We start from the raw sequence: 14,763 nt of genomic DNA on the forward strand, positions 1-14,763 counted from the left end.
TCCAGCAGTCATACTCCTAGATATTTACCCAACTGATTTAAAAATGTATGTCCCCACAAAAACATGCACACAAATGTTTATAGCAGCTTTATTCCTAATCGCCGAAAACCAAATGTCTTTCAGTGGGTGAACAGATATGGTACATCCGTACGATGGAATAATATTCAGTGATTAAAAGAGAAGTGAGCCATCAAGCCACACAGAGGCATGGATGAATCCTAGATGCAGACTCCTAGGTGAAAGAATCCAGTATGAAAGAGCTATGTATGGTATGATTCCAATTATATGACATCCTGGAAAAAGCAAAACTACGGAGACAGTAAAAAGATCAGTGGTGCCAAGGACCTAGCAGTTGGGAAGGAGGGAGAAGCACTGAATAGGTGAAACACAAGGATTTGTAGGGTAGTGAAACCATTCTGCATGATACTGTAATGGTGGACACATAACACTGCATTTGTCAAAACCCATGAACTTTACAAAGCACAAAGAGCTAACCTGGATGTATATAAATTTTTACGAAATCATTTAGGAGGTCAGGAGCGGGGGTCCCAGGATGGAATGCAGAGTGTGACAAAACAATCTAACTGCATTACAAATGTATGAGACAATCTCACTGAAGTGGGCAGAGCAGAAGGTGCTGACCTAAGTAACTGTGAGAATGAGTGAAGACTGTAAGACTAAAGGCAAAAGAAAATGTACATAAGCACTGTACTCTATTTGCTGAAGTTGTTTCCCAAAGAGATATATGTTAATTCTGAAACCATTATGCTTGTACACTGAAATTACAGAATTAAGTAAATGGATGGCGGGTGGTAAAAGCCAGGTTTCTCACTGTTTGGGAGGTTACAGTTTAGCAAAGAAGGAGGCTAGAACGATCCACATGGTAATAATCAGAGCTGGAGACATCACTATCAATTCATGCTATCAATTCATGCTTAGCTTAATATACATACAGATCGTCACATACAGAAATATTTATAATTATGTGTATACACATGGGTTAGTATACACATAGGTATTTCCATGTTCTGTCATCTGAGGGGGCCAAGCAAGTGACACCCCAATAGCAACAAGCATACCTAGCACCCAAGTCTTGCTTTCTAATACCATTCTCCAAGAGAAGAGCCTCGATTCCTTGAAGAAATGGCTGATTCTAGGCCTTGGGCAGGAAATACACGAGATGAGCCTGGAGCAACTTCTAGTGCCAGAAAGCAAAGAGGTGCAGGAGTGCAGAAGGAAGGGATGGAGGGAGGGAGGACCGAGCAACTGAAAGAGCACCCAGTGGACAAAGGTGGAACAAGTTTAGCAACAAAATAAAAGCGTATATAATCCAAAATATAAATACGCATGGGGCCATATTGACATAACTGAACAAATAAATGAGGAAGAACAGACAAATTTCCCTCCTGAACAGAAGAAATCACATAGATATTCCAACCTCAAGGAAGGAGAGTGTAACTCCCCACCCGTAAGTGTGAGCTGCATATTAGTGACCTTCTCCTGAAGAGCACAGTATGTAAAGGAGGGGAAAGGGTAACTCTGCAGTGAAGAAACCTGACAGACACTCCCTTCAGTCAAGTGATCAAGGTCAACATCAACAACGATAAACCATGCTGACGGTACGTACCCTTGATATGATGTGATGGAAATGGCATTTTATCTCTACAGTCTTCCCCTCAGAAATCCATAACGCCAATCTAATTGTGAGAAAAACATCAGACAAATCCGAATAGAGGAAAATTTTACAAAATACCTGACTAGCACTCCTCAAAACCGTCAAGATCATCAAAAACAAGGAATGCCTAAGACACTGGCACAGACAGGCGACAGGAGAAGCCTGGAGATATGACAATAGAAAAAAGACAGCAGGTCAAAGCTAAGGACATTTAAATAAAGTATAGATTTTTATCTTTATAATTTTTCTGTAAATCTAAAACTCTCCAGCTGGGCACAGTGGCTCATGCCTGTTAATCCCAGCCCTTTGGGAGGCTGAGGCAGGTGGATCTCCTGAGGTCAGGAGTTTGAGAACAGCCTGGTCAACATGGTGAAACCCCGTCTCTACTAAAAATACAAAAAATTAGCCTGCTGTGGTGGTGTGTGCCTGTATCCCAGCTACTAGGGAGGCTGAGGTGGGGAATCACTTGAATGCAGGAGAATCGCTTGAACCTGGGAGGCGGAGGTTGCAGTGAGCTGAGATCGCGCCACTGCACTCCAGCAGTGCATAAATAAAACTCTCCTAAAGTTAAACTTACGTTAAAACAGGCTGGGCGTGGTGGCTCATGCCAACAGAAGGCTGAGGTGGGAGATTGTTTGAGCCCAAGAGTTTGAGGCTGCACTGAGCTACAGCCATGCCAGCCAGGGTGACAGAGCAAGACCCTGCCTCAAAAACAAACCCCTCTATGAGGCCCAACAGCTGTCACTTGAATAGACTGTTAAACACATGAGTATACGAAAAGTATCCCACCAAATGAAGAAATGTAAGAACCAGGAAAATTTCCCCTTTGTCAAAAATTCTCAACATTTCAACTTTATTGGTTCTTTTCAAACAAATACTGGCGGTATTTACAATAAAAAGGTATAGTGCAGTATCATACAGAAAAAGAAAATGTGATCATTAGAGTTCAAACTGCAGGCTCCAGTCGGCCTGCCTGGATTAAAACTCTGAATCTATCTCTCTACAAGCAGTACAACCTCGAACAAGGTTAAATAATCCTGTTTTAGGGAAGAACGGAAGCAGAGGCTTAGAAGAATGCAGTTTAAATGGGGTTTCTCTCTATACCAAAAGAATAAGATAACTTTAAACCTCATCCACCCCCAAAAAAATCTATTTATTACAAAGGCTTAACTGAATCAATGTTCAATTATAACTGCCTCCTGAAATTAATAGTGATTTCTGCCAAGTTAAGTGTCAGTTAGAAATCTTAAGTATTATGAAAGGCTTAGATCACCAAGTGATCAACAGCATTCAGTCTCTAAAAGTTGATGGACTGCAGACGACAAAACAAAGGCTGAGGCCCTGGTAGATTTCTATGCAGTTGGTAAAGGTATAAAGCAGCTTCACGAGGATGCATCCAGTTCCACGTAGGGAGGGGTGGATTATCTTTTTAAAAATAAACAAATCATACATTTTTAAATCAACACAAGCAAACGTCAAATTTCATGGTAAATAAAACCTCTGTAACACAGGGCCCACACTCCACAGCTTACTTCTCCAAACAAACACCACTCAGCTCTGCCCAGGTGCTGACCACCAACCATCTGTGGTCCACTGGTTCTCAGGCTGCCACTGAGGTTGATTTTTTTCAAGTACTGTCTCGTACACCAGTCATCAGCAGAGAAAAAAGTTTCCCATTGTTATACCAGCACATACCCCATCCTTGTCCACCCATACCAGAGGATTCTTGTTTTTCTTGAGATGGAGTTTCGCTCGTTTTGCCCAGGCTGGAGTGCAATGGCGTGATCTTGGCTCACAGCAACCTCCACCTCCCAAGTTCAAGCAATTATCCTGCCTCAGCCTCCCAAGTAGCTGGGATTACAGGCATGTGCCACCACGCCCGGCTAATTTTGTGAGGGGGTTTCTCCATGTTGGCCAGGCTGGTCTTCAACTCCTGACCTCAGGGGATCCGCCTGCCTCGGCCTCCCAAAGTGCTGGGATTATAAGCATGAGCCACTGTGCCCAGCCTAGGATTCTCTTTTTAAACATAATATTCACTTTTGATAAGAATCTCCCAAATACCTGCCATCCAAGTCAACTATTAATGTAATAAGTACCCAAACAGTGAGTGTTCAAGCATTCCAAGTGCAAACTAAGCAAACGTAAATCAAAGTTTCCTCCTATTTCATTGGCCTCCCTGCTCAGTCTCCTCAGCTGGTGCCCCCTCACCTCTGACCTCTAACCCACTGGAGCCTCAAGGCTCAGCCCTCAGACCCTGCCTCTATCTCCCTAACTGCCCGTGTACTTAAATACCATCAATATGCTGCAGATGGTATTTGTATATCAAGCCTGAACTTCCCCAGTCTTCCCCTTTACCAGGAACCCTATCCCTGTGAGTTCCCTGGGAATTCAACTGCTCAGGCAACCTGTCTCTCTCCCCACATCCTATCAACTCTACCTGCAAAATTTATCCATTTATCCACCACTTCTCACCAGTCACCTGGTCCCAGTCACTTCCCCTCACCTCTTCGCAGATGTATCAGCATGCCTGCCAACCAACCTCCCTGCTGCAACTCTGCAGCTGCCTCTCCATGAGCAGAGCAGAGGGACCCTCTGGAAATGGAGGCTCGTCTGCCCCAACTCTCAGGGCCCTCTCAGCTCACTGACTGTAACCCTCAATGTTCTTATCACAGAAGGGGACAGGCCTCACAGGACGCTGCCCCTCTCACTCACGTGCTCTAACTCAGCTTCCGTGTTTTCTCAGTCATGGACGTAATCACTGCCTCAGGGCCTCCGCATGCCCATTCCCTCTGTTTGAACTGCTCAAAACGTCCTTTCCCAGATATGACCATGGTTTGCCTCTCACTCTCTCAGCTGGACGAGCAGCCCCGTCCCTCCATCAGTCGACCGCCTTATCATGCTTGTATTGCTTCAGACTCAGTGCCACCTGCGAGCAGCCCTGTCCCTCCATCAGTCGGCCGCCTTATCATGCCTGTATTGCTTCAGACTCAGTGCCACCTGCCATTATTTATTTATTTGTCTCCTTATTTTCGGACATCCCCATAGAGAAACAAATGCATTGAGAGAATAGGAGCTTTGCTGTGTTCACTGTGGCAGCCCCTATGCCTATAGCAGGGCCTGTCACACGCAGGTACGCAGACAAATTTTTAAAAATATATATTAACAGGCCGGGTGCGGTGGCTCACGCCTGTAATCCCAGCACTCTGGAAGGCCGAGGTGGGCGGATCACTTGAGATCAGAAGTTCAAGAACAGCCTGGCCAACGTGGCAAAATCCTCTCTACTAACAACAACAACAATTAGCCAGGTGTGCTGGGGTGTACCTGTAATTCCAGCTACTCAGGACGCTGGGGCACAAGAATCTCTTGAACCCGGGAGGAGCCAAGCTTGCCCCACTGCACACTAGTTTGGGTGACAGGTTGAGAGTGTCTCTCTCTCTCCCTCTCTCTATATATATAAACAAAGTTTTAAAAATTAAGTTTGTATTATCTGGGATATTCAATATCCATGCTCACTTTACCCTAATAAAGTAACCAGAATTCTAAATTATTACAGAATCAATATATAAGCACCTAAAAAGTAAACAAGCATTCCTCAGGTGGTAAAAATAAATGAAACCGTACTCAACTTTCTGCCTTAAATAAACCACATCATTTTAAATAAAAGTTGTGTCTTTAAAACCAGTGTACCTGTTCCAGGAGACGGCACAGACATGTTAACTATGTGAAAGAAAAACTAGCACCTATAGTATTTTTCTGTCACAGGGAGTTTTTTTGTTTGTTTCTTAAGAAAAGGCTGTGGAAGTAATTGCTAGACATCCAAGAAAATAGCTTTGTACTTTTTTTTTTTAAAATCCCTGCCAGAGTTCAATGAGAGAAAACACAGAAGCCAAGCACTACAGGGTTAACCAAGATGATGTCAGCAAGCCCGAGCGTTAAATTGCTGAGTGAACGCTGAAAGATCTTTTTAGCCAGGGAAACATTTTGCTGTAATGGTACCATTACAAATTTTTTACAGTAATAACACAGCACATTATAAGCTTGCTCAACTGATAAGCTCTTTGTAAGGGTTAGAAGTCTACAGCCCTCACACACAAAGACCTTTCTGTCTCAGAGTTCTTAGAAGTCAATAAGCTAAAAATCACATCCTGCACAATATCCACTTAGAGTCACAGAGGATCTAGTCTTCTATTGCTTTGCCTAGTTTCCCCTTGGCATGGAGAAGCCATCAGGATACAGAGGCAGAGACAGCGACATCATTTTTGTGTCCAATTATCTCTTGGTTCTAGCCACTTTGTACTTCAAGACAATTTTGGATTTAAAGAAGAATTGTAAAGATGGCAGAGACAGTTCCCACAGCTTCACCCCGCTTCTTCTGATGTTAACATCCCACTTGACTATGCTACACAGAGCAAAACTAAGAAACTGATACATGTATACACTATTACCTAGAGTGCAGACTTTATTCAGATTTCACCAGTTTTCCCACTAATGTCCTTTTTCTCTTCCAATCTAGGGCCCCACAGTACATTTAGTAATCCCACCTCCTTGGTCACCTCTAGCCTGACAGTTTCCCGGTCTTTCCTTGCTTTTCCTGACCTGACACTTTTGAAGAACACGGGTCAAGTATCTTGCGGAAAATCCCACCCCTTGGTTTTGTCTGAAGTTTTCTCCGATTAAACTGGGGTTGTGGATTTGGGGAAGACTATGCAGAGCTGATGTGTCTTTCTCATGCCATCATGGTGGGGGGGGTACCTGACACAAATGTGACCCACTCCTGTGATGTCAAGGTGGTGTCCACCAGATTCCTATTCTCCACTCCATTCAGGAGCCTCGAGTCACCCTGTCCCTCCACAGTCAAGAGGAGGGAAATTAAGCTCCACTTCCAGGAGGAAGATTATCAAAGACTTTAAAATGAGCATAAAAACCACCACAGTGACTAACAAATACTTTGTTAACTACTTTATTTGAGACAGAGTTTTGCTCTTTGCCCAGGCTGTAGTGCAGTGGCGCTGTCTGGGCTCACTTCAACCTCTGCCCCCCAGGTTCAAGTGATTTTCCTGCCTCAGCCTCCCGAGCAGCTGGGATTACAGGCACCCACCACCACGCCCGGCTAATTTTTTGTATTTTTAGTAGAGACAGGGTTTTGCCATGTTGGCCAGGCTGGTCCCGAACTCCTGATCTCAGGTGATCCACCCACCTTGGCCTCCCAAAGTGCTAGGATGACATGAGCCACCATGCCCGGCCAACTACTTTGTTTAAACTATAATTTGTTTGATAAATAAATCCGGAGTTACAGTTCATGGCAACTAACAAAAGCTGAGGCTTAAGAAGGCTTATAACCAGACCACATGAACATGTGTGAAATCATCAATTACAGAAACAAAAGATGCTTTAAAATATCTTATAGTTTTAGCTTTAAGATGTTTGTCAGTTTAACCCCCTGCCAAAAGTCCTTTGTTTTCATCATCTCATCTACTACAGAGTACTTCCACACTGGGACTCAGGCCTCGTCTACTACAGAGGACTTCCACACTGGGACTCAGGCCTCGTCTACTACAGAGGACTTCCACACTGGGACTCAGGCCTCGTCTACTACAGAGGACTTCCACACTGGGACTCAGGCCTCGTCTACTACAGAGGACTTCCACACTGGGACTCAGGCCTCGTCTACTACAGAGGACTTCCACACTGGGACTCAGGCCTCGTCTACTACAAAGGACTTCCACACTGGGACTCAGGCCTCGTCTACTACAGAGGACTTCCACACTGGGACTCAGGCCTCGTCTACTACAGAGGACTTCCACACTGGGACTCAGGATTTAGTGCTGATCATCTGCCCACTTTTACAGTCCTGGCCCCTGTAACGATGTCTCAGTCAACAACTGACCCCTTAGACTGTGGTCCCGTAAGATTGTAATACCTTATTTTCACTGTACCTTTCATATGTTGTGATATGTTTAGAAATACAAACACTTACCATTGTCTTACAGTTGCCTACAGTATTCAGCACAGTAACATGCTGTACAGGTTTGTAGCCTAGGAGCCGCAGGCTACACCATACAGCCTAGGTGTGTTGGAGGCTGTACCATCTAGGCTTGTGTAAGTGCTCTCTATGATGTTTATACAACAAAATCACCTGAGGATATACTTTTCAGAATGCATCCCTGTCATTAAGTAACACATTACTGCATCTGGTTATACAACTCATTGCCAGTAACATGGCTCAGAGGAGAGAAGAAAGGAAAAGAATACATATATATAAAACATTAACCTATCAAACATATGACTGGGGGCATTTGTGTGCCAAGTCTGGCCTCCCACTAACCTGACTTTATAAAAGTTACTTACTAGAAAGACCCAGGGCTAAATGGGATGATGTCAATTAACAAAAACATAACTTCAGTTCCCACACATCCATAACATCACTAAATCATAAGAAATGTTTTAAGAGTATAAATGGCAATGACGGTTCTTAAACACTAGCAAGTGTAAGATTCACCAGAGAAGCCTGTCAACAGCGCAGATCACTGGACTCCACCTGCCAAGTCTGGGGCCTAGAAATGTGCCCATCAGCAAGCACCTCAAGGGATTCTCTTGCAGACGGTCTGCCTCTGAGAAACTCCCACCTGGTCTAAGACCCACAGGCAATGCTAATACTTCACGTCCACACACACGCTTACACTTCTAAACCTTACACTTCACCTCCGACTTTCCTATCCCAGACAACACCGCCTGAGGTGAACAACACTGCCACCACCAGATGCAGCTGCACCTCTGTTCCCTCACCTGTTCCTTTTCAAACACCAGACTCTTATTAGTTCAATAAAGATGATTAAATGTTAGAACTAAAGACTCAAAAGCTTCGATGATGCCATCTTAAGACCTCTTAAAAATGTGAAAGGATGCCTTCGTGATTGGTTGGAACAGTCCAGAAACCCAGTCACCTTTACAGAAGGGCGTGGCCCAGGCAACGAGAGTGCCTCCCACCGCTCCCCAACTCATCCTGCCTGCTCTAATTGATCCAGGCACCCACCCTGTGCTTTCCCATACAGCTTACAGTATTCTGCCTTGGTGTGCAGTGGCACAGTCACAGCTCCCTGCAGCCTCAACCTTCCAGGCTCAAGCCATCTTCCCACCTCACCTCCAAAGTAGCTAGGACCACAGGCGTGCAACAAAATACCCAGCTGATTTTTTTTTTTTTGGCAGATACAGGGTCTTACTATGTTGCCCAGGCTGGTCTTGAACTCCTGGGCTCAAGTGATTCTCCCACCTTGGTGCTGCGATTACAGGCGTGAGCCACTGCTGAGCCTTGTTTTATTCTTATTTCAAAATGCTTTGAATATTGATATACGTTTTAAAAGGCAGATTACCGTTGATATAGTTTGGATACTTGTCCCCACCCATATCTCATGTTGAAATGTAATCTCCAGTGTTGGAGGTGGGTCCTGGTGGGAGGAACTGGATCATGGGGGTGGATCCCTCATGAATGGTTTATCTGTGGTGCTGTCCTCCTAACAGTGAGTTAGTTCAAGATCTGGTTGTTTAAACATGTGTACCACCCCCCTCCCCTTGCTCCCACTTGTGCCATGTGAGATGTCGACTCCCGCTTTGCCTTCCACCATGAGTAAAAGCTCCCTGAAGCCTCCCAGAAGCCAAGCACATGCCTGTGCTTACTGAACCACCAGCCAATTAAACCTCTTTTCTTTATAAATTACCCAGTCTCAGGTATTTCCTTATAGCCGTGTGAGAACGGACTAACACGCCAGTTCTATTATGGGAATTGAGGTGATAACAGCTGTGATCTCAATCTCTTCAAATGTATACAGGAAATGCCACTGTGCTATGTCTTAAGATAAAGAAAACGATATGTCGATCCCACCTCCTGAGAGTGTGCTAACAGGCTCTCACAATCACAGGACTCTGATATACCCAATGGTGGAACCATTTCAGAGATGTTCATGTACCTGGAGAAGGTTTGTTTTGCCAACAAAATAATCACAGATCCAAAGCAACTAACACATCCATTTTAGGTAAACTATGATTGGTTCTGTCAAAATAGTCTTCCCTAAATTGTAAAAACAAAAACATGAGATTCCAAGACTACAATGTTACTACAAAGCATATTCAAGTATTTGTTTACATAGATCAAAATCTATGTGGTGGTCTCAGGGAATGAGTTCTGAAGGGCTTTGCTTTTCAGATACTTGAGGATAGTTTCCGGTAGCCCTCACATTTCACAAGCAAGCACTCACCTGTCCCAAACATGAGCTATGGTAATAGGTAACATGCATCAACTCAATTTATCCTTGGAACCACCCTATAACGTAGACAATTTTTACCCTCACCCCATCTTTAAGGAAATTAAGGTTCAGGGGAGTCAGGTAACTCGCTGCCCAAGACCACACAGCTAGTGAAGAACAAAGCTGAATGAAGCACCATGATTCAAGTCAGGCCTATTTGTGCCCAAACCAATGTCCTCAGCATTCCCTGCCTCCCCTCAACTCTGATGCCATCTGGCCTTACCCTTCGCCCCACTCTGCCTCGTCACTCCACTCATGCTGGCCACTGTGCTATGTCCTAAACTTACCACACATACTCCTCTGCACTGTCTCTCACTGCACCCCACCTCGCTCCACCAGCATATGAGACCATGGTCTTGGCTTTCTGCACTGTTGTGTCCCCAGCTAGCACAGTGTCTTGCTACAGATGTCCAAAATTTATTTTTGAAATGAATGTATGTGAATATTGTAACTAATTGGTTGGAAGTCTTTCTAATTTTTAGAGCACAATACCCTGACTTCTTAAACAGAGTATAAGGCGACACTCAGCGTAATTCATCTAATTATAAAAAGCAAAATTTAAGCTGTGGAGCTAAGTCCCCATAACAGATGCTTTTAGGTGACATCAGTGAAAATGGCAGAGTGAAGACCTCCAAAAATCCTGTCTGCCCTGAAAGTAAAGCGAACACTGACAAAAATGGGCAGAGGCAGCCTTTCCAGGACTCTGGATATTAAAGATTTGCAGTAATCCAGACAGTATTTATGCAAGAAAAAGACAAAAATTTTGGTAACAGTAAGCTTGGTGGCATTTTAATTTGCCCTATTTCCAGTCTGTTTTCTACCCTAGCCTTGAAAAACAACAGTCTACAATCACAGCAAAAACCAGCAGCTTGGAAGCCATTAGAGGGGTCAAAGAGGGGCTGGAGCTCCTTCAAAGCCCCATTCCCAAAGAACTGTCATTATCTGACCTATCTGGTGGTTCCCTGGAAGACCTTGCAATGTTGTCTTTATTTGACCTGACTCAGAATTTTCCTATTGCAAACACCTTCTTGGAAGGGGATAGGGGGCTGGTCAAAAACAATCACAGGCAATTGTTGAATGCAGCACTGCCCAAGGGGATGGCTAACCATACACGCAGTGTGTGGGGGGAACAAACAAACAAAAAAACAGGCTAAATAAAAAGCTTAAAAAGAAAAGCAGGGAATAAGATGCAATATGGGGTTTTGAAAAAGCTTCAATATATTACTCCTGGGAATCTACAAGGCCACACGCATGTGTGGGAGTGTGTGCATGTTCAGCAAAGACCCAAGAAGGCCCTAAGCTCTCTGTACAAGCAAGTTAAGTAGTTAAGTGAAGTTTAAGGCAGGGTTGTCAAATGCCTGCTGAGTGTTCAGGGCAAGCACCAACAGGTATACAAGAGACCCTCAGCAAAGAGCCAATAACTTTTTAGTTCCAGGCATCTAAGGAAATCTCTGTCCAGTCATTAGCTAAGCACTAAGCAAATCATGTAGAGACTTCCGTGGCCACATACAAAAAAAATACACTGTACGGAACTGGTTCTGAAAAGACACTAAACAAACAACAAAACCCAGCAATAACATCCCTGAAGGGGTAGATTTCAAGAGTTGTCACATTTAAATAATAGTAAGTAAATGTCTAGTTTCCAAAAAAAAAAAATTATGAGGTATCAAAGAAACAAGAAAGTATGGCCCATACAAAGGCGGAAAAAGCAGCCAATACGGCGACAGAAATTATTTGTATTTTTAATGAGCCAAACAGAAATTATGGAGTTGAAAAGTACAATATCTGAAATGAAAATATCACAACAGAGTTGAACAGGCAGAGGAAAGAATCCATGAAACTGAAAGTAGGCCATTGCAATTATCTAGTGTGAGAAAGAGAAAGAAAACAGGAGTAAAAATGAGTAGAACACAGCATGACGGGCATTCCAAAGGAAAACAGAAACAGAGAGAAAGGGGCAGAAATACTCAAGAAATAATAAGTGAAAAATCTCCAAATTTGATGAAAAACAAGCCACATAACCAAGAGACACAACAAACTCCAAGTATGATAAACTCAAAGGGATCACCTAGACACATCCTAATCAAACTGTTAAAAGCCAAAGAGAATCTTAAGAGTAGCAAGAAAAGCAACTCATGACATACAAAGGATCCTCAATAAGATTAACAACTGATTTCTTATCAGAAACCATGAAGGCCAGAAAGCATCCATTCAAAGTGATAAAAGAAAAAAAGATTGGCAACTAAGAATTCTATATCCAAGAAAGATGTCCTTTAAAAGTGGAGGAGAAATTAGGAAAAAAGTGAAGGAGAAATTAGGACATTCCAAGAGAAACAAAAGGAATTCATCTCTAGCAAACTTGCTCTATGAAAAATATTAAAGGAAGTCTTTCAAGCTGAAATGAAAGAACATTATACAGTAACTCAAATAGGCATGAATAAGAAGCCCCATAAGGGTAACTACATAGGTAAAAAAGGGTATAAATGTATTTTTTATTTGTAATTCCTTTTTTCTCTGATCTGATTTAAAAGATAAGTACATAAAGCAATTATTATAAATCTCTGTTGACTGGCATACAACGTATAAAGATATAATTTATTTGACAACAACAGCACAAAGGGAGGAGACAACACAGCTACACATGAGCAAATCTTGTGTTTACTACTGTTATTAAGTTGGTATTCATCAGAACTAAATTATCAGGTAAGATGTTCATCCCCAAGGCGACTACTAAAAAATACAGTAAAAGAAATGACAAGGGAATTACAATGGTACACTAGGTAATAAAAAAGGTAGTACTGGAGTAACAGAAAAACAAAGATATGACATACAGAAAACAGCAAAATGGCAGAGATAAGTCCTCCTCTATCAGTAATTATATTAAATGCAAATTAATTAAATACTCCAATTATGAGGCAATATTGGCAGAATGCATTTTTTAAATGATCCAACTATATGCTGTCTTCATGAGAGACACACTTTACATTCAAAGACACAAACAAGTTGAAAGTAAAAGGATGAAAAAAGATATACCATGCAAATGGTAACCAAGAGAGCTGGAGTCATCATACTAATATCAGACAAAACAGACTTCAGACAAAAATTGTTACTAGAAACAAAGAAGGAATTTTATAATGATAAAAGTGTCTATCCATCAAACAGGTATAACAAATATAAACATATATACATCCCAAAACACAGCCCTGAAATAAAAGGAGAAAAACCTGACAGAACTGAAGGAAGAAATAGAGAATTCAACAATAACATTAGAGACTTCTGACTAGGTACAGTGGCTCACACTTGTGATCCCAGCATTTTGGGAGGCTGAAGCAGGCAGATCACTTGAGGCCAGGAGTTCAAGACCAGCCTGGTTAACATGGTGAAACCCCATCCCTAATAAAAATACAAAATTTAGCTGGGCATGGTGGCATACTCCTGTAATCCCAGGTACTCAGGAGACTGAGGCCTGAGAATCGCTTGAACCGAGGAGGCAGAGGTTGCAGTGAGCTGAGGTCATGCCACTGCACTCCAGCCTGGGTGACAGAGCGAGACTCTGCCTCAAAAATAATAATGATGATATTAGAGACTTCAATATCCCACTTTTTTTTTTTTTTGAGACGGAGTTTTGCTCTTTGCCCAGGCTGGAGTGAAGTGGCGTGATCTCGGCTCACTTCAACCTCTGCTCCCCAGGTTCAAGTGATTCTCCTGCCTCAGCCTCCAGAGTAACTAGGACTACAGGCGCCCGCCACCATGCCCGGCTAATTTTTGTATTTTTAGTAGAGACGAGGTTTCACCATGTTGGCCAGGCTGGTCTTGAACTCCTGACCTCAGGTGATCCACCCACCCTGGCCTCCCAAAGTGCTGAGCCGCCACGCCCGGCCCTAATACCCTACTTTTGATAATGGATAGAACATGCAGCATTAGTGCTCACTCTTTGGGACATCTAGCCACTGAGGGTCTGCCTGGTTCTCAGGCCTGCGAGTTTAACGGGCAGCCTAAATGAGTGAGGAAGGAACTACTGGAACACAAATCATCTCTGTGACAACCCAAAGTCAAGAAAAATTATTTCTTTGTGGAGAGAACATTCAAAAACCTCTCATGAGGTGATGGACATGTCAACCTTCCTGATTTGATCCTTATACAACATATACATGAATACATTAAACCATACTCCATAAATATGTACAATTATAATGTGTGAATTTTTTTTAAAAAAAGAAACATTATTTCTTCTATTATTAAAGTGAAAAATACCCCAGGCTTCTGGTATATGGATGTTCAACATTCCTTTATGAGACAGACTAACAAGGAAGATTTTATCTTTTTACACATTTTGCTGCAAACTCCAATTTCCCTTGATGATATATGCCTCCTCATAAAAAGAACATTATCCATTTCAGCCTTCCCTGTACTGTTTTATATTTAAAATCAGTATCACAGGTTTCATATTTTTAATTTCTTTTCAACTGGTTCATGAACATATGGTCTTTGTCTCCTCAACTACTCTGAAGTCCTTGAGGGAGAAAAAGGTGGCCATTCATGTTTCAATCTTTTGCAATTTCCCTACCAATTCAGAGGGCAGTTCTGGGCTCATTAATGAACCCTTAACAAGTACTTACTGGCTAACTCAGAGCTTCATAACTGGTGTATTTTGGTGTGCGGGTGTAACATGAACAAGTTCCATGTGTGCCCAGATAACAATCCTTCCAGGCCTAGAGTGGTATGGGGCTGTAGGGGTGGTGGAGGGGACAGGAGCTAGGGATTGGGGTAACAGCAGCCCTTGGAGGC

The 14,763-nt window shown here is 42.8% G+C and overlaps 1 protein-coding gene across 2 annotated transcripts in view; it reads right to left on the reverse strand.

Annotated features, from left to right (window-relative positions):
• The window catches only part of CHSY1 (chondroitin sulfate synthase 1), a 76,322-nt gene that overhangs the window by 40,645 nt on the left and 20,914 nt on the right, over positions 1–14,763 (reverse strand). Inside the window, exon 3 of one of the 2 annotated variants that reach the window (XM_011521364.3) lies at positions 1,754–1,837. The exons of the other annotated variant lie outside the window; for it this stretch is intronic. Coding sequence (XP_011519666.1) covers positions 1,754–1,837 — 84 coding nt within the window. The remainder of the gene's footprint in view (positions 1–1,753; positions 1,838–14,763) is intronic. 2 annotated transcript variants of the gene reach the window in all.

The sequence above is a fragment of the Homo sapiens genome, chromosome 15 (genome assembly GCF_000001405.40).
Source record: "Homo sapiens chromosome 15, GRCh38.p14 Primary Assembly".
Classification (NCBI taxonomy): Eukaryota; Metazoa; Chordata; class Mammalia; order Primates; family Hominidae; genus Homo; species Homo sapiens.